The sequence below is a fragment of the Homo sapiens genome, chromosome 7, assembly GCF_000001405.40.
Source record: "Homo sapiens chromosome 7, GRCh38.p14 Primary Assembly".
NCBI classification, from domain to species: domain Eukaryota; kingdom Metazoa; phylum Chordata; class Mammalia; order Primates; family Hominidae; genus Homo; species Homo sapiens.
Genome location: NC_000007.14, coordinates 140,364,829 through 140,383,430, shown reverse-complemented (window position 1 = coordinate 140,383,430; position 18,602 = coordinate 140,364,829). Strand labels below are relative to the sequence as shown.

The 18,602-nt window shown below is 44.3% G+C and overlaps 1 protein-coding gene, 1 non-coding gene and 1 pseudogene across 18 annotated transcripts in view, besides 3 other annotated features; 2 read left to right on the top strand and 1 right to left on the bottom strand.

The window, feature by feature from the left end:
• Nucleotides 1–18,602, top strand: part of SLC37A3 (solute carrier family 37 member 3) — a 64,779-nt gene that overhangs the window by 15,100 nt on the left and 31,077 nt on the right. For all 17 annotated transcript variants that reach the window (NR_156492.1, NR_156491.1, NR_156490.1 and 14 more), the window contains exons 2-4: nucleotides 835–993; nucleotides 3,041–3,149; nucleotides 13,749–13,841. Coding sequence is in view for 13 of the 17 variants with exons in the window: in XM_047420950.1 (XP_047276906.1) it covers nucleotides 905–993; nucleotides 3,041–3,149; nucleotides 13,749–13,841 (291 nt within the window). In the remaining 4 variants the exon portion in view is untranslated. The remainder of the gene's footprint in view (nucleotides 1–834; nucleotides 994–3,040; nucleotides 3,150–13,748; nucleotides 13,842–18,602) is intronic.
• Nucleotides 7,138–7,257: an enhancer, noted in NCBI's record as "active region_26779". NCBI's record gives its function as "activates an Ori minimal core promoter by ATAC-STARR-seq in GM12878 lymphoblastoid cells {active_cell/tissue: GM12878}" and the evidence as "EXISTENCE:reporter gene assay evidence [ECO:0000049][PMID:35858748]".
• Nucleotides 7,765–7,868, top strand: LOC124901838 (small nucleolar RNA U13). The gene has a single exon (XR_007060674.1). It is a non-coding gene; the product is annotated as a small nucleolar RNA U13 (small nucleolar RNA).
• On the bottom strand, nucleotides 12,886–12,990 carry RNA5SP247 (RNA, 5S ribosomal pseudogene 247; annotated as a pseudogene).
• Nucleotides 14,681–15,180: an enhancer, noted in NCBI's record as "H3K4me1 hESC enhancer chr7:140068051-140068550 (GRCh37/hg19 assembly coordinates)". NCBI's record gives its function as "activates a minimal SCP1, AML or CMV promoter by ChIP-STARR-seq in naive H9 embryonic stem cells {active_cell/tissue: H9 hESC(naive)}" and the evidence as "EXISTENCE:reporter gene assay evidence [ECO:0000049][PMID:30033119]".
• Nucleotides 15,181–15,682: an enhancer, noted in NCBI's record as "H3K4me1 hESC enhancer chr7:140067549-140068050 (GRCh37/hg19 assembly coordinates)". NCBI's record gives its function as "activates a minimal SCP1, AML or CMV promoter by ChIP-STARR-seq in naive H9 embryonic stem cells {active_cell/tissue: H9 hESC(naive)}" and the evidence as "EXISTENCE:reporter gene assay evidence [ECO:0000049][PMID:30033119]".

Genomic DNA, 18,602 nt, shown 5'->3' with positions numbered 1-18,602 from the left:
GGCGTGATCATAGCTCACTGTAACCTCGAACTCCTGGACTCAAGGGATCTTCCTGTCTCAGCCTCTCCAGTAGCTGGGGTACTACAGGTGTGAGCCATTGTGCCCAGCTCCTTCTTTCTTTTAATATTAAAAATCTCCTCCAACACTTTGTGAAAAATACTTTTGTTTATAGGCCTAAACACATCTGTATTTTTTAAGGAATAGATCCCTGGAAATTCTTTTTTTTTTTTTTAAGTGAAAGCAAGCTTATTCAAAAGTAAAGGAATAAAAGGGCAGCTACTGCATAGAGAGAGCAGCCCAGAAATTGAATTTTTGTGTCAAACACTCTTGATGAACATGGCTAGATTGTCCTCCTATGATATTATACTAATTTTTACTTCTTTCAGTAGCATATGGGAGTTCAGGAACCATTATACCCTGAGCTGCATTGAGCACAATCTTCTTTAACTATCCAAACGCTTTCTTGCCTTAATTACATTTCTAATATTACTAGTGGGATTGAACTTTTATTTCTCAAGTTTAATAGCCATTTCATTTCTTCTGAGTTGTCTATTTCCTTTGCTCATTTTTTCTATAAGAATGAGTGATTTTCTTATCAGTTTGTATGAGCTCTTTCTATTAAGATATAATCTTTTGTCCAGGATTTTTTTTTTTTTTTTAAGAACTACCTAATAGCTTTAACATAATTACTAATCCAGTTTTCTGGTGTCAACTAGGCCATAAGATTTTTTTCCCACAAGGCCTGATTATATGGTGACTGTAAATCTAAATAATACAGTTTTTGGATACTCTGCCTATGTTTAATAATGTCCATAATGTGTTTTGTCTTTCCAGAAGGAAGAAATGATGTAAATCACTCATCCAAACCTTAAGGTCAAAGGTGAGAAGGAAGGTCAGGAAGAACATGGCCTGGCCAAATGTTTTTCAAAGAGGGTCTCTGCTGTCCCAGTTCAGCCATCATCATGTTGTAGTGTTCCTGCTCACTTTCTTCAGGTAAGCATGTTGCCAAAGCTGCTCTCCTGCTTTTTTTCTTTTTTCTTTTGAGGGAGATATTGCATGGCAAGTGTCAAATGCACTGATGGGCATACACTTATAATGTTAGTTATTCCTTCTGTTGTAGTCTTGATAGCTGTAATATCGTAGTTCTGGAGGGCTGTTTTGCCCTCCAGAGGACATTTGGCGGTGTCTAAGATAGTTTTGGTGGTCATGAGGGGAGAGGAATGCTACTTGTAGTTAGTGGTGGAGACCAGGGATGCTACTAAACGTCCTCCCATGCACAGGACAGCTCTCCACAACAAAGAACGTTTCATCTGCAAATGTCAACAGTGTGGAGGCGGAGAAGCCCTGATCTATTTTTTTTTTTATTTTGTACTTTTTTTTTTTTAAAAAACATATCTCACTTTTTTTTTTTTTTTTTGAGACGGAGTATCACTTTGTCGCCCAGGCTGGAGTGCAGTGGCATGACCTCAGCTCACTGCAACCTCCGCCTCCTGGGTTCAAGCTATTCTCCTGCCTCAGCCTCCCGAGTAGCTGGGATTACAGGTGCGTGTCACCATGCCCGGCTACTAAATAGAGATGGTTTCACTGTGTTAGCCAGGATAGTCTCAATCTCCTGACTTCGTAATCTGCCCACCTCGGCCTCCCAAAGTGCTGGGATTACAGGCGTTTATTTTCATCACCCTGTTTGGAGAGAGAAGTCCTCTATTTGTTAAAAGCAGGAGCTGGAGAACAAAGGTGATCTTAAGTGGTTCTCTTAGTAACATAGCATACATCAGGCCATTGGGTGTTAGAGGCATGCTGTAAGTGACCTTGTTACTCAGCTTTTTTTGACATTTCTGCTGAGTAGATTTTGTTTATTAATCTTTATGAAAGGCGCCAGAAATAATGATTATTTATTTATTTATTTGAGATGGGATCTCACCCTGTCGCCCAGACTGGAGTGCAGTGGTGTGATCACGGTTCACTGCAGCCTCGAACTCCCGGGATCAAATGATCTACCCGCCTCAGCCTCTTGAGTAGCTGGGACCACAACCATGAGCCACCATGCCTGGCTTATTATTATTTTTTATTATTATTATTTGTAGAGATGAAGTCTTCTTATGTTGCCTAGGCTGGTCTTGAACTCCTGGGCTCAAGCAATCCTCCCACCTCAGCCTCCCAAAGTGCTGGGACTATAGGCGTGAGCCACCGTGCTTGGCTCATCCTTTTTTTTTTTTTAAAGAGAAGAATTCTTGGCCAGGCACGGTGGCTCATGCCTGTAATCCCAGCACTTTGGGAGGCCGAGGTGGGTGGATCACCTGAGGTCAGGAGTTCGAGACCAACCTGGCCAACATGGTGAAACCCCGTCTCTCCTAAAAATACAAAAATCAGCTGGGCGTGATGGCACGTGCCTGTGATCCCAGCTACTCGGGAGGCTGAGGCAGGAGAATTGGCTTGAATCCAGGAGGCTGAGTTTGCAGTGAGCTGAGATCACAGCACTGCACTCCAGCCTGGGCAACAGAGCGAGACTCTGTCTCAAAAAAAAAAAAAAAAAGAAGAAGAAGAATTCTAAAATTGTTCAGTGTCATGCTTATAATCCTGGCAATTTGGGAAGCCAAGTGGTGGGAGGATCGCTTGAGCCCAGGAGTTTGAGACCATCCTGGGCAACATAGCAAGACTCTGTCGCTGCAAAAAATACAGAAATTTTTGTAGCCTGAGTAGCCTAAGTAGCTAAGATGACAGGTGCACTGGGCGTGGTAGAGTGCCCCTGTAATCCCAGCTACTCAGGCTGGGCTGGGAGGCTGGCTTGAGCCCAGGAGGTGAAGCCTAGTGAGCTATGATCATAACTGCACTCTAGCTTGAGTGACAGAGCGAGATCCTGTCTCAAAAAATAAAAAGAAATAAAATTGAGAGAGCCTCTCTGAATCTATTTTGGTTCAGGTGGCTGCCCACCAAATAAAATAAAATAAAATTGAATAAAAGAAATGGGCCTATACCTGTGATTTTATTGAATGCTGTTTCTCTTTGCTATTCATTCATCTGTATTCTCTCTATTTTGTAGTTATTCGTTGCTCCATGCTTCACGAAAAACATTTAGCAATGTCAAAGTCAGTATCTCTGAGCAGTGGACCCCAAGTGCTTTTAACACGTCAGTTGAGCTGCCTGTGGAGGTAAGCAGAACAGAGTGCTGGGATGGATCGAAGTAGGAGACCGTGCCCACCCCTAGATTGTTCTTAAGCTCTTTTTTGCATCTTTTACTTGCCTAGACTCTGAAATGGCTCACTGTTTCCTATCACATAAGAGCCAAACTATTCTAATTTCAAAGCCTGCTCTGACTCAGTCCCATTTTACCTCTCCAGCCGGCTTGTTTCTAACTGTTGAGAAATCACACCTTTTGACAAGGCTGTTTTTTCACTGGCTTTCGTTAGTGCTGTGCTCGTTTCTGTCTTTGAGATTTTGCACATTATCTTTTATGTGCTCTTTTGCCCTTTTCCACCTATTTAAAGTTTGCCTTTCTCTTTGTGTCAAGATAAAATATCACTTTTTTTTTTTTTTTTAAACAGAGTATCATTCTGTTGCCCAGGCTGGAGTGGAACGATCTCTCAGAAAACATCTCTGCAACCTCCACCTTCTGGGCTCAAGCGATCCTCCCACCTCAGCCCCCTGAGTAGCTGGGACTACAGTCGCGCACCACCATGCCCAGCTAATCTTTTTTTTTTTTTGTAGAGATGGGGTTTCACCACGTTGCCCAGGCTGGTCTTGAACTCCTGAGCTCAAGCAATCCACCCGCCTTGGCCTCCCAAAGGGTTGGGATTATAATGTGAGCCATCACGCCTGGGTAAAATGCCACGTTTTCAATCAAGTTTTTTCCCAACTTCTGATTTTTCCCTTCACTAAACTCTTGTACACTGTCTTGCATATTGTAATGTCTTGGTATTTCAATATTTTCTAATGGTTTCTTTTTTTTTTTTTTTCTTGAGACAGAGTCTCGCTGTGTCGCCCAGGCTGGAGTGCAGTGGTGCGATCTCAGCTCACTGCAAGCTCCGCCTCCCAGGTTCACACCATTTTCCTGCCTCAGCCTCCCAAGTAGCTGGGACCACAGGTGCCCGCCACCACGCCTGGCTAATTTTTTTTGTATTTTTAGTAGAGACGGGGTTTCACCATGTTAGCCAGGATGGTCTCGATCTCCTGATCTCATGATCTGCCCGCCTCGGCCTCCCCAAGTGTGGGGATTACAGGTATGAGCCACCATGCCTGGCCTGTTTCTTTTTTTAATTTAAATTTTTTTGTAGAGACAGGGTCTTGCCGTGTTTCCCAGGCTGGTCTTGAACTGGGCTCAAGCAATCTTCCTTCCTTGGCTTCCCAAAGTTTTAGGATTACAGATAGGAGCCACTGTGCCCAGCCTGTTTCATTTGTTTGTATCTTGCTTACGTGCCTTGAAGTCAGGCGTGATCTCGGCTCACTGCAACCTCCACCTCCTGGGATCAAGCGATTCTCCTGCCTCAGCCTCCTGAGTAGCTGGGATTACAGGCATGCACCACCAAGCCTGGCTAATTTTTGTATTTTTAGTAGAGAAGGGGTTTCGCCATGTTGGCCAAGCTAGTCTAATTCCTGACCTCAAGTGATCTGCCTGCTTCGGCCTCCCCATAGTGTTGGTATTACAGGCGTGGGCCACTGCGCCCGGCCAGAATCATAAATCTTTTTTTTTTTTTTTGTGAGATGGAGTCTTGCTCTATCGCCAGGCTGGAGTGCGGTGGCATGATCTCGGCTCACTGCAACATCCGCCTCCCGGGTTCAAGCGATTCTCCTGCCTCAGCCTCCTGAGTAGCTGGGACTACAGGCGCATGCCACCACGCCCAGCTAATTTTTGTATTTTTAGGTAGAGACAGGGTTTCACCATGTTGGCCAGGATGGTCTTGATCTCTTGACCTCGTGATCCTCCTGCCTCGGCTTCCCAAAGTGCTGGGATTACAGGTGTGAGCCACCGCTCCCGGCCCAGAATCATAAATCTTAAAGATGGAAGTGGTCTTAGAGAGATCACGTACCCTAACCTCCCAGATTGGAATCTTTCTTTGTCATTCTTGGAAGATAATCATCCAGCTTCTGCTTCAGTAGTTCCAGGCAGAAGAAACTCACTGTTGTGTGAGGTGGATGCTTACATTTTTATTCAACTTTTGAAGAAAATTCCTCCCTGTCTCCCTAAGTTTCTGTTTAGGCAAAACATTCCTGGCTCCTTCAGCTGTAGTTTAGTGACACTGAGCACTAATTGTGGGATTTCAGGTACAGCCTGAACAATATACAGAAAAATAGGATTTCATTTAGGCACTAGATTTCTGGTTGTACTGCCTAAGGCTGCCTTTATTTTTAAGGTAACTGGGTTGGGGGTTCCCAAGACCACCCCTAGTTTGGTGATTAACTAGGAGGACTCAACATAGAGTACGTGTGGCTGTCATTTATTCCAGTGAGAGGATACAAGGTAAACTCAGCAAAGGGAAGAGGCCGGCCTGGCGTGAGGCCAGGCCAAGCTTCCCAGAGGCCTCTCTCATTAATTTTAAATAAAAAAATTTTTTTTAAATTATTTTTTAAGAGACGGGGCTCTTGCTATGTTGCCCAGGCCGTACTTGAACTCTTGGGCTCAAACGATCCTCCTGCCTCAGCCTCCTGAGTAGCTGGGACTACAGGTGTATGCCACCATGGCCAGCTAAAAAAATATTTTGCTTATATATTTTTAAAAGTTAAAAAATTAAACAGAAAAACATTTCTTAAGTGCTCTAAATAGCATCCTAAAAAGTACTTTTTATAGCTTTCATTTTTATGCATAGCTCTGGGTGTTTTACAAAAAGAGTTCAGTAGACACAGTTACCTTTAGAATTTATAATGGGTTCACTGACATCGACAAACATTGGAAATAGTGAGTAAACATAATAACATAAAGTCTATGTCTATAGATAATAATCATTAGATCTTATATTTGAGAACAACTCAGCTAAAAACTATAATAAAAATTTGTACAGTTCTTACATGAGAATAGTGCTAGAGAATCTAAAATTATCTCCAGGAGAAGGAAGGAGAATTTAAAGTGTCTTGGGCCAGGTGCGATGGCTCAGGCCTGTAATCCCACCACTTTGGGAGGCCTAGGCAGGAGGATTGCTTGAGCCCAGGAGTTTGAGACTAGTCTGGGCAACATAGAGAGACCACCGTCTCTACAAAAATGAAAACAAAAACAAAACAAAAAAAAAAACACTTTGGGAGGCCGAGGCGGGCATATCACTTGAGGTCAGGAGTTCGAGACCAGCCTGGCCAACATGGCGACATTCCATTCTCTACTAAAAATACAAAAATTAGCTGGGTATGGTGATGCATGCCTGTAGTCCCAGCTTCTTGGGAGGCTGAGGCAGGAGAATGGCTTGAACCTAGGAGGTGGAGTTTGCAGTGAGCCGAGATCGTGCCATTGTACTCCAGCTTGGGTGACAGAGTGAGACTCTGTCTCAAAAAAAAAAAAAAAAAAAAATTAGCTGGGTGTGGTGGCACATACCTGTACTCCCAGCTACTTAGGAGGCTGAGGTGGGAGGATCATTTGGTCTCTGGAGGTCAAGGCTGCAGTGAGCCATGGTTGTGCCACTGCACTCCAGCCTGGGTGACAGAGCAAGACCCTGTCTCAAAAAGTGTCTTTGGACATTCCATCTCAACCTTATGCACAGCTACTTGGCAGATTCCCACATAAACGTGTTCTGCTCGCCTTATGCAAAGAACTTCATGCATAAGTTGGCCTGTCATCCATCCTCTGCTCACCACTTTGAGGAAGCCCTTCCATGTCTGTGAGCCTCCCCTGCCCCCCTGGATAGCCCTTATTCTGTTATAAACATTCTCACCTGGGAAACTCACACAGGGAACTTTAGTGTGTGCACAGGAAGTACCTCAACATCGAGCAAGTGTAGTAGCTTATATAGTCCCCCCAGCACAATACAAGAAAACCCTGCAGTACATTCAGGCTGATAAGTTCACATCAAACGTACGCTCAGACCAGGTTGAATCACATTTAGCATGTTGACTTAGTTGTGTTGGTGACTTTCATTAAACATGGGATGGTTCACTATGAATACTTGGAACATTTCTAACCGAGTAGTATAGTCATACTGATCTGAGCAATGTTATTGTTAATTTTCTTCTTTTTTTCTGTTACCCTGTTTCCTGAATCTGTTTGTTAGTCCTACTTTGTTCTTTTAGTTTTTGGTTTCGTTTTGTTTTCCATTTAAGTCAACAGTCAAAAAGTGTATTTCAACTGAATTCTGGCAGTGAAGCAGAAAAAAGCTGTTTAAAATCTGTTAATTCTTGTGAAAGCCACACCTTCAGGGAGTTTTTGGTAACTTCTTGGAGGAGTAAAGGAAACCTACAACTTTGAGCAGCTGCTTAAGTTCCTTGTCTCTAGCTCACACTGGTGCATGTACCCAGCAGGGCTTAATCATGGGTCCTGATGAGTCTGGTGGGCACACAAGGATGGAACACTGCGGTTGCAGGGAAAATGTGGGAATGTCACTCTAATTGAAGACATTTAGGGCCCCAAATTGGCATTGCTGAAAAGACTGTTTGATGTCAGCTGTGTGAGCCTGCACTGCTTTCTCATCTTCGATAGAATGCATCTTCACAGTATGTGTGAAGTGGCATTAAAGTAACCAGATTGGTGCCAGAGGCCACTTAGAAATTAGTTCCGGTGCTTTGGAATCACACTTTATTATTTGTTTATGATTTGGGGATTTTATTTTTTGTTAAAGATACATTTCTTTGATTCTTTCGTAGTTCGTAAGCTGGATTATTGAGTATTCACACACGTGTGTGAGATGTGCCACCCTTGAACCTTGTTACAACGTGGGCACATTATTCACTTGACATGGATTAAAAATAAAGATGTTTCTTTAAAATTGCTGATTGTGATTTTTGTCTTTAATATTCTTTTAGATTTAATTTTTTTTTTTTTTTGAGACGGAGTCTTGCTATGTCGCTCAGGCTGGAGTGCAATGGCGCTATCTCAGCTCACTGCAACCTCCGCCTCCCAGGTTCAAGTGATTCTCCTGTCTCAGCCTACGGAGTAGCTGGGATTACAGGTGCACATCACCATGCCTGGCTAATTTTTTGTATTTTAGTAGAGATGAGGTTTCACTGTGTTGCCCAGGCTGGTCTCGAACTTGAACTCCTGAGCTCAGGCAATCCACCCGCCCCCGCCTTCCAAGGTGCTAGGATTACAAGCAGGAGCCACTGCACCCAGCCTGTTTTTTTTTTGTTGTTTTTTGTTTTTTTTTTGAGGCGGAATCTTGCTCTGTCACCCAGGCTGGAGTGCAGTGGCACAATCTCGGCCCATTGCAACTTCTGCCTCCTGGGTTGAAGCGATTCTTCGATTCTTCTGCCTCAGCCTCCCAAGTAGCTGGGACCATAGGTGCGTGCCACCACACCTGGCTAATTTTTGTATTTTTAGTAGAGATGGGGTTTCACCATATTGGCCAGGCTGGTCTCAAACTCCTGGCCTCATGATACCCCCACCTCGGCCTCCCAAAGTGTTGGGATTACAGGTGTGAGCCACCGCGCTGGCCTTGTTTTTTAAGACAGGGTCTTGCTCTGTTGCTCAGGCTGGAGTACAGTGGCATGATCATAGCTCACTGCAGCCTTGAAGTCCTGGGCTCAAGCCATCTTCCCATCTCAGCCTCCTGTACTCAGACACTGTACTCTGGCACTACAGGTGTGCACCACCATGCCCAGCTAATTTATTTTTATTTTTGTAGAGATGGTGGGGGTCTCACCATGTTGCCTATGCTGGTCTCGAGCTCCTGGTCTCAAGGGATCCTCCTGCCCTCAAGGGATCGTCCTGCCTGGGCCTCCCAGAGTGTTGGATTATAAGCATGAGCTACCGCACCCGGCCTCTTTAATATTCTAAAATCTAAATTCATTTTTTTTTTTTTTTTTGAGATTGAGTCTTGCTCTGTCGCCCAGGCTGGAGTACAGTGGCGCGATCTCAGCTTACTGCATCCTCTGCCTCCTGGGTTCAAGTGATTCTCCCGTCTCAGTCTCATGAGTAGTGGCACTACAGGCACATGCCACCACGCCCGGCTAGTTTTTGTATTTTTTGGTAGAGATGGGGTTTTGCCATGTTGGCCAGGCTGGTTTCAAATTCCTGACCTCAAGCGATCGACCTGTCTTGGCCTCCCAAAGTGCTTGGGATTGTAGGCGTGAGCCACCGTACCTGGCCTAAAATCAAAATTTCTTTCTGTAACAACCCATCTCAGAAATGCCAGGATATTATAATTAGTAAGTACCTCAGAAATGATTTAGTTCAAGGATTTTCTAGCTTTTTGGTCATAGCACCCCAAAATGTTTTTGGTTATATGGGTTTATATCTATAGATACTAGTTTAGAAATTAAAGCTGAGAATTTAAAAAATACATTGGAGTTTTTGGGATTGCTTTTTAATGAATTAAATAAGCCAATAAGTATTAACATAAATAACATCTTCTGAAAAATGACTTTTTCAAAACAAAATAATGAGTGGCATTGTTTTACATTTTTGCACATCACTTCGTGTCTGTTAATAGGAGATAGTGGGTTTTCATGTCTCCTTTGAATTCAGTGTGTTGCGGAGTTTATTCAGAGATCCTTTAGCTGGGCATGGTGGAGTGTGTCTGTAGTCCCAAATACTCAGGAAGCTAATGCTGGATCGCTTGAGCCCAGGAGTTCAAGAGCAGCCTGGGTGACATAATGAGACCCCATCTCAAAAAAAAAAAAAAAGAAAAAAAAAGTTCTTTGAGATATAGGAAGAAAATTTGGCCTTTCACAGGTTTGAAGTTAGAAAAGAGAGAAGTGTTTTTGTAGCCTTTTCAGTTAATTGTGGATGTTCATTTGTCTTTGGTACTACAGTGAAATTTTGATAAGTGATAATTTCTTAAAAGTTAGTTCCAGTGATGGAATCTGAAACTGTATCAGTGCACTTTGGAATACTCTTGCATTAAGACATATTTGTGTTGTTCTTTGGTTCTTTAAAGTGACAGGCTCGTTTCATTCATTTTTGAGGAAATAGATGCCAAGTACCCAAATCTGAATAACTAGTTTCTCAGTCATTCTTTCAAGTCGAAATATGTTCCAGCTGCTTTGGTATCAGAAGTGATTCTTGCAGACTTTCTACTTACTCACACAGAATATGAAAAATTATTGGCCAGATGCAGTGGCTCACTACTGTAATCCCAGCACTTTGGGAGGCCGAGGAGGGGGTGGGGCAGATCACGAGGTCAGGAGTTCGAGACCAGCCTGACCAACATGGTGGAACCTGTGTCTACTAAAAATACAAAAATTAGCCGGGCATGGTGGCATGTGCCTGTAGTCCCAGCTACTCAGGAGGCTGAGGCAGGAGAATCGCTTGAACCCGATAGGCGGAGGTCGCAGTGAGCCGAGATCGCGCCATTGCACTCCAGCCTGGGCAACAGGGTGAGGCTCTGTCTCAAAAGAAAAAGAAAAATTATTGTACTCAAGGCCTACAGTTTATAAAATTAAAAATTTTTACTGCTTCATGAAGGACAGTCTTACGTGACACTGGCTTTTTTTTTTTTGAGATAGAGTCTCACTCTGTCACCCAGGCTGGAGTGCAGTGGCACAATCTCGATTCAGTGAAACCTCCTCCTCTCAAGTGCAAGCAATTCTACTGCCTCAGCTTCCTGAGTAGCTGGGATTACAGGCGCCCACCACCACACGTGGCTAATTTTTGTAATTTTAGCAGAGATGGGATTTCACCATGTTGGCCAGGCTGGTCTTGAACTTTTGACTTCAAGTGATCCGCCCTCCTCGGCCTCCCAAAGTGCTGGGATTACAGGTGTGAGCCACCCCTCCCAGCCGACATTGGCTTTTTAAAATCCTGTTTTGGTTTTTTATTGTGAGCATGCTGCAGTGAGCAATATGGTGATCACTAGTGCTGTTTGGCATTACTACCTTGGTTTATGCTAAGGTGCAGCAGTTTCTCTCCACTGCTCTTGCATTGTCAGTGCAGAAGGGAGCAAAGTTGAAAGGACATCACATTTTAATGTGGTGCAAAGAATTTTGACCTTGCAGACCCCCTTGGAGCAAGGCTCTGGAGGCCTCTCTGTCTCCCCTAGTTCTGTGGACCACAGTTGGAGGGCTATGATCTGGTCCATCTCCCATCCTATTGAAGAACCCTTTCTGTATCTTTGAGAAATTACCTTTCCGTTTCCCTCAGGGATGTCTATTGCGGGGGAAATTCACTACACTGTGAAGCAGCCCATTACATTTTTGAAAGTTCTGTAAACTAGGCTGGGCGCAGTGGCTCACACCTGTAATCCCAGCACTTTGGGAGGCCGAGGCAGGTGGATCACGAGGTCAGGAGTTTGAGACCAGCCTGACCAACATGGTGAAACCCCGTCTCTACTAAAAATACAAAAATTAGCTGGGTGTTGTGGTGGGCGCCTGTAATCCCAGCTACTCAGGAGGTTGAGGGAGGAGAATCACTTGAACCCAGGAGGCGGAGGTTGCAGTGAGCCAAGATCGTGCCATTGCACTCCAGCCTGGGTAACAGAGCGAGACTCCGTCTCCAAAAAAAAAAAAAGTTCTGTAAACTAACTCAGATCTCTTTTCCACTGCTGGCCCTAGATAAAGTTGAGGATAATTTTTCACAGATTCCTTGTGTCTCTTTTTTTCAGCATAAATTTGTATTTCCATTTCCTTCAGTGGTTCCTCTCATGGCCTGGTTTCATATATCCTGCTCATCTTTCTTTAAAATGAAAATGAATGGACATTATTTAATTCATTACAAAAGATATTGACAAAATAACCATGGGTTCTTTTCACTGTTAGACCCTGTATAAATATGTGTAAGACTTGGTTCTTATTCTAAAGGAATTTTAAAAACTGGATTTAAACACAGCTGAAGAATATAAACATCCTGCGGAATCATACATGGCATTTTGCAGTTAGAAAGAACGTAGCTCTCGGTCGGGCACGGTGGCTCACGCCTGTAATCCCAGCACTTTGGGAGGCGGAGGCAGGTGGATCACGAGGTCAGGAGATTGAGACCATCCTGGCCAACATGGCGAAACCCCGTCTCTACTAAAAATACAAAAATTATCTGGGCGTGGTGGCACGTGCCTGTAATCCCAGCTGAGGGAGGCTGAGGCAGGAGAATCACTTGCACCCAGGAGGTGGGGGTTGCAGTGAGCCAAGATTGTGCCACTGCCCTCTAACCTGGGCAACAGAGTGAGACTCTGTCTCAAAAATAAATAAATAAATAAAAATAGAAAGAATTCGTTTTGTGGTTCTGCAGACTGGCCACTGAGGTGCTGTGAGAGCTGCTCAGCTGCTTTGTCGTGAATGGGTTGTAGTTGGGCTGCAATCTCCCTTCCCTAAGCTCCTGGGGTTGCTAGGTGGGGCTTGGGATGGCCTCCTCCTGATTTTAGACTGGTGGATATTCCCAGGCCAATCAACTCTGACCTTGAACAGCTTCTTCAGTTTACTCCAGTGTGTTATACAAAGATCGTTTTCTATGTGTGCCTATGAAGAAGTTGAGAAGTATTAGGATGAGTGGCCTCTCTAGGGCAACAAATACTTAGGACTAGAGTTGGGATTATAAGTTTTCTGAGTACCAGACTAGAAGGATAATAAAGTTGGCAAGACATTGTGATTTAATTGAAGTAGGTTAATGAAGGACACTTTTTATCATTTTAAAAATTAAGATGTGAATTTTAGTTACCTTTTTAGTATTCAGTTCTACAATTTTTGACAAACACATATAGTGTTGTAACTATTCCAAGATATAGAACATCATCCCCCAGATTCTCTTGTACCCCTTTTTAGTCAGCCCTAGGCAACCACTGACTGGAGGAAATTGTTTTTGAAGAGTATTGTAAAATGTTTCCTTAGATGGAGTTAGACATAATTTCTCCCATCCAAGTACTAACCAGGCCTGACCCCACTTAACTTTCCACATCAGATGAGATCGCGTGCTTTCAGGGTGGTATGGCCCTAGATGGTAGGCATAATTTCGAATTAATTGGATATTGGATTCTGCCAAACAAAAAGATTATCATCAGAATTTATTTCTTCTAAATGTCTGCTTTTAAACTTACTGCCCCACTTTCTCACTTAAGACTTCGTCACTAGCATTTGAGCATTCCAATGATACACATTTGAGGTGATACATTAATTGCCCTTATTTGATCATGACATGTTGAATATATGTTGAACTATCACACTGTACTCCCTCAATATGTACAATTACTATGTGTCAATTAAAAATAATAAAAGCAAAAAAAAAAACTAGTTATTTCTTTCTTTTCTTTTCTTTTTTGTTTTTTTGAGACGGAGTTTCGCTCTTGTTGCCCAGGCTGGAGTGCAATGGTGCAATCTCTGCTCACCACAACCTCCGCCTCCTGGGTTCAAGCAATTCTTGTGCCTCAGCCTCTTGAGTAGCTGGGATTACAGGCATGTGCCACCATGCCTGGCTAATTTTGTATTTTTAGTAGAGACAGGGTTTCTCCATGTTGGTCAGGCTGGTCTCGAACTCCCGATATCAGGTGATCTGCCCTCCTTGCCCTCCCAAAGTGTTGGGATTACAGGCGTGAGCCACTGTGCCCGGCTATACTAGTTATTTCTAAATACATTTGAAGTAAAAGTTGTTCTTGAGCATTACTGGTGCTTTGGAAGTGTTTGTGAAGGGGCTTTGGGAAACAGAAAGCCCTGGCAGATTCTACAGGGACTGACCTGTTCCTGCTGTCTTACTGTAGATCTGGAGCAGCAACCATTTGTTCCCCAGTGCAGAGAAAGCGACTCTTTTCCTCGGCACACTGGATACCATTTTCCTCTTCTCCTATGCTGTGGTAAGTTTTGGAACTCTAGGGCTTAAAGCTAAAGAAAAATGTAAATATAAATGACCCTGAGCCTTACAAAATTTGTAAGGGATTTTGAATTTGCTGACTGAGGCAGAGTTCAGTATTTCTGAAGTTTATATTGTTTGTTCTTCCCATTCATTTATTCATTCATTCGACAGATATTTATTGCTCATCTAGCATATGTCAATGGGAATTTATCCCGAACAACACAAAATGCCCTGCCTTTATGGACCTGTATTCTTGGAGTTAGGGGAGACAGACAGTAACCAAATGCTACAAATAAATTATAGAGTATATTTGAAGGTGGTAAGTACAACGGAGGAAAATAAAGCAGAGAAGGGGGACTAAAGGGGCCTGGGTGAGGTTGTAATTTTAAGTAGCACAGCCGGGAGACCTCAGGAGGCAGCGGGCATTTGAGTGAAGACCTGAGCAGGTGAGCGAGTCGGTGTGCTTGGATCAGAGCTGCAAGAAGAGAGGCCAGAGATGCGGTGGGGCTCAGATCTGTAGGGTTTTGGTACCTTTGGGGCGGCTTTGGCTTTAACCTTGAGTGAGATGGGAGCTGCTGGAAGGTTTTGTGCAGAGCAGCGGCAGGACCTGACTTAGGTTTGGATAGGTGCACTTGCTCTGGGAGCCGAGTTCTTTTGAGGTGAAGGATGATGGTGACTTGGGTCCAGCGCAACAGTAATAGAGGTTGGGGGGAAGTAGATTTTAGCGGTGTTTTGGAGGTAAAGCCAATAATATTTTTTCCCTCTTGAATGTGGAATGTAAGAGAAATGTGTCAAGAACACCTCCAGGGTGGAAGTGTCATGGCAGAGGGGAGACTGGGGAGATAGAAAGCTTTGATGACTCGCTTTTGGATGCATTACATTTGACCTCTGCTGCCCAGATGATGAAGAGCAGACACTTGGTCATTGAGTGTGGAGTTCAAGGTGTAGGTTCAGTCTGAAGATACATGTTTTTGGAGTCCTTGGCCTTTATTATTATTATTATGTTTTTAATTTTTTATTTTTGAGACAGAGTTTTGCACTTGTCGCCCAGGCTGGAGTGCAATGGCACAATCTTGGCTCACCACAACCTCCACCTCTCGGGTTCAAGCAATTCTCCTGCCTCAGCCTCCTGAGTAGCTGGGATTGCAGGCATGCGCCACCACGCCCGGCTAATTTTGTGTTTTTTTAGTAGAGACCGAGTTTCTCCATGTTGGTCAGGCTGATCTGGAACACCCAACCTCAGACGATCCGCTTGCCTCGGCCTCCCAAAGTGCTGGGATTACAGGCGTGAGCCACTGCGCTCGGAGTCCTTGGCCTTTAGATGATTTATAGATCAAAACTGTGAGGCTGCGTGAATTGATCAAGAGAACAGGCGAGGGCGGGGAAGAGGTGTGAAACCTGAGCCCTAGGGCTTCCAGTCCTCAGAGGTGGGTGAGGAATGGGCCAGGTAGCGGGGGTGGAGTGGTAAGAAAGGTGGGGCTGGGCGCGGTGGCCCACGCCTGTAATCCTAGCACTTTGGGAGACCGAGGCAGGTGGATAACTTGGGGTCAGGAGTTTGAGACCATCCTGGCCAGCATGAAGAAACCCCATTTCCAATAAAAATACAAAAATTAGCCAGATGTGGGTGCCTGTAGTCCCAGCTACTTGGGAGGCTGAGGCAGAAGAATTGCTTGAACCCGGGAGGAGGAGGTTGCAGTGAGCCGAGATTGCGTCACTGCACTCCAGCCTGGATGACAAAATGAGACTCCATCTCAAAAAAAAAAAAAAAAAGGAAGGTGGGATCCTGGAGAGGTAGCACCCTGGGAGACATTCCACGGTGGCGAGGAGTAATTCAGCGTCAGGATAGGCAGCTGGCGTCTCTGTCTGGCTGTAGGAACAGCTGTGGTGGATGCCACATTAGAGTTCTGGAGCTGATGGTGGCAGCAGCTGGAACGTGGACTGTGAGAGGAGCCTTCCTTTTCTCCCCAGCATATAAGATGCTGTCTTTAAGTATGCCTTATTTCTGTCTTTAAGTGTGCCTTATTAAAAACGCCTTTTAATTCTCAATGTCCAGGCAATGTGAAATACTGGGTAAAAGTTCTGAAGTAGTTTCTAAATGTTTATTTGGTTAGTTATTTTTATTTATTTATTTAATTTTATTGTATTATTATTTTTTGAGACGGAGTCTTGCTCTCTTGCCCAGGCTGGAGTGCAATGGTGCTATCTCAGCTCACTGCAACCTCCGCCTCCTAGTTCCAGTGATTCTCCTGCCTCAGCTTCCTGGGTAGCTGGGATTACAGGTGCACACCATCATGCCCAGCTAATGTTTGTATTTTTAGTAGAGATGGGGTTTCATCGTGTTGGCCAGGCTGGTCTCAAACTCCTGTCCTCAGTTGATCCACTTACCGCTGCCTTCCAAAGTGCTGGGATTACAGGCGTTAGCTACCATGCCTGGCCTATTTTTTTTTTTATTTGAGATGGAGTCTTGCTGTGTTGCCCAGGCTGGAGTGCAGTGGCACAATCTTGGCTCACTGCAACCTCTGCCCCCTGGGTTCAAGCAATTCTGCTGCTTCAGCCTCCTGAGTAGCTGGGACTGCAGACATGTGCCACCATGCCCTGCTAATTTTTTTTGTATTTTTAGTAGAGATGGGGTTTCACCGTGTTGGTCAGACTGGTCTCAAACTCCTGACCTCAAATGATCCGCCCACCTCGGCCTTCCAAAGTGCTGGGATTACAGGTGTGAGCCACTGCGCCCAGCCTATTTGGTTAATTATTAAGAGTATCTTTTCTTCAAAGAGGAAACAGAGAAACAGTTGGAACAGTTCTTTGGTCATTCATTTAGTCTACCTCCTCACCTTGGGTATTTTCTGTATAAAATCCCCATGTAGAGGCACGGGGCTTTGGCTGGAGCTGGTGACAGGGTGCTCGCTTCTCTTCGAGCCACTCATTTCTTTCAGGGACCAGTTTAAGAGGCAGTGTAGTCTAACTAGCTGTGTTAAACTTGGTTGCGAAGTAGAATTTAACCTTTTTTTGGTGTTTAGTTTCCTCATCTATGGAGTCATCTATAGGACTAGATTTAGGACATAAAGGATCAATGCCATGAAAAATCAATGGTCATGGTTTTTTTTTTATCTTGAGCTGCACTTCCTTCTGTAACTTATGGGCATTTTGCTTTCTGCAGCAAAACAGAATGTATTGATTCTGGTGGGGCACGGTGGCTCACGCCTGTAATCCCAGTACTTTGGGAGGCCAAGGAGGGCAGATCACCTGAGGTCAGGAGTTTGAGACCAGCCTGGCCAACATGGCAGAACCCCATCTCTACTGAAAATACAAAAATTAGCCAGGCAAATTCAGTTAGGACCAGGTGTTTCTAATAAATTGACTTATCTCTAAAACTTGGCTGGGCGTGGTGTCTGACGCCTATAATCCTAGCACTTTGGGAGTGGGGAGAATTGCTTGAGGCCAATACTTCAAGACCAAACTGGCCAACATAGCAAGAACCCATCTCTAAAAAAACAAAAATTGGCAGGCCTGTAGTCCCAGCTACTCGGGAGGCTACGGCAGGAGAATTGCTCGAACCTAGGAGACAGAGGCTGCAGTGAGCCAAGATCACATCATTGCATTCCAGCCTGGATGACAGAGTGAGACTCTGTCTCAAAAAAAAAAAAAAAAAAAAAAAAAAAAAAAAAAAAGCATGTATTGTTCTGTCATCTGAAGCAGAATTGAGATTTTCTTCATCCCTTTTGTTCTGTGTAGCATAAGTCCATATGAGGGGCAGCTAGACAACATAGAATCTACTTTAAGGCTGACATGCTTCTCTTAAGATGAGGAAGCTTGATGATAATGAGGGAGAAACGTTCATATTTAAATTTATCTTCTCATTTTTTTTTTGAGATGGAGTCCCACTCTATCGCCCAGGCTGGAGTGCAGTGGTGCCATCTCGGCTGACTGCAAGCCCCGCTTCCTGGGTTCAAGTGATTCTCCTGCCTCAGCCTCCCAAGTTTCTGGGATTACAGGCGCAAGCCACCATGCCTGGCTAATTTTTCTGTTTTTAGTAGAGACAGGGTTTCACCATGTTGGTCAGGCTGGTCTTGAACTCTTCACCTCAGGTGATCCACCTGCCTTGGCCTCCCAAAGTGCTGGGATTACAGGTGTGAGCTACTGCACTCGGCCAATTTTTTTTTTTTTAGAGATGGGTTCTTGCTATGTTGGCCAGTTTGGTCTTGAACTATTGGCCTCAAGCAATTCTCCCCGCTCCCAAAGTGCTAGGATTACAGGCGTGAGACACCACGCCCAGCCAAGTTTTAGAGATAGTCAATTTATTAGAAACACCTGGTCCTAACTGAATTTAGGTTTTCAGTCAAGATATTTTATATATTTATGGAAGAAACCTAAAGTGTGCTGCGCTTAAGGTCTTCAGTCTCACTTCCTGCCATGATCTCAGCATTTTAATTCCTGCCACTCAGTGGGAGGAGAGCAGAAGGCAGAACCTGTCTCCAGCTAATTATTGTCTCTGCCTTCCTACTCTCCCTGCCTTGGGATGTCATGAAACCCAAGGGTCAGATTCAACAGGCAGCTAGTGTGCCCTGGAACCTTCTATTCCACTTTTTACAAGGTTGGAACTGAAACTGCAGGGCGTGTGGTAACACGTTAACCCAGAGTGCAGATGGCTAAGAGGAATCCCTTTGGGATAGCTTATCACTGATGGGTAGGAATTAATCTAGTCTAGAAAATGAAGTATATTTGTGTGCTTGTTTTATTAGAGTCATTCTTATTTATTTAT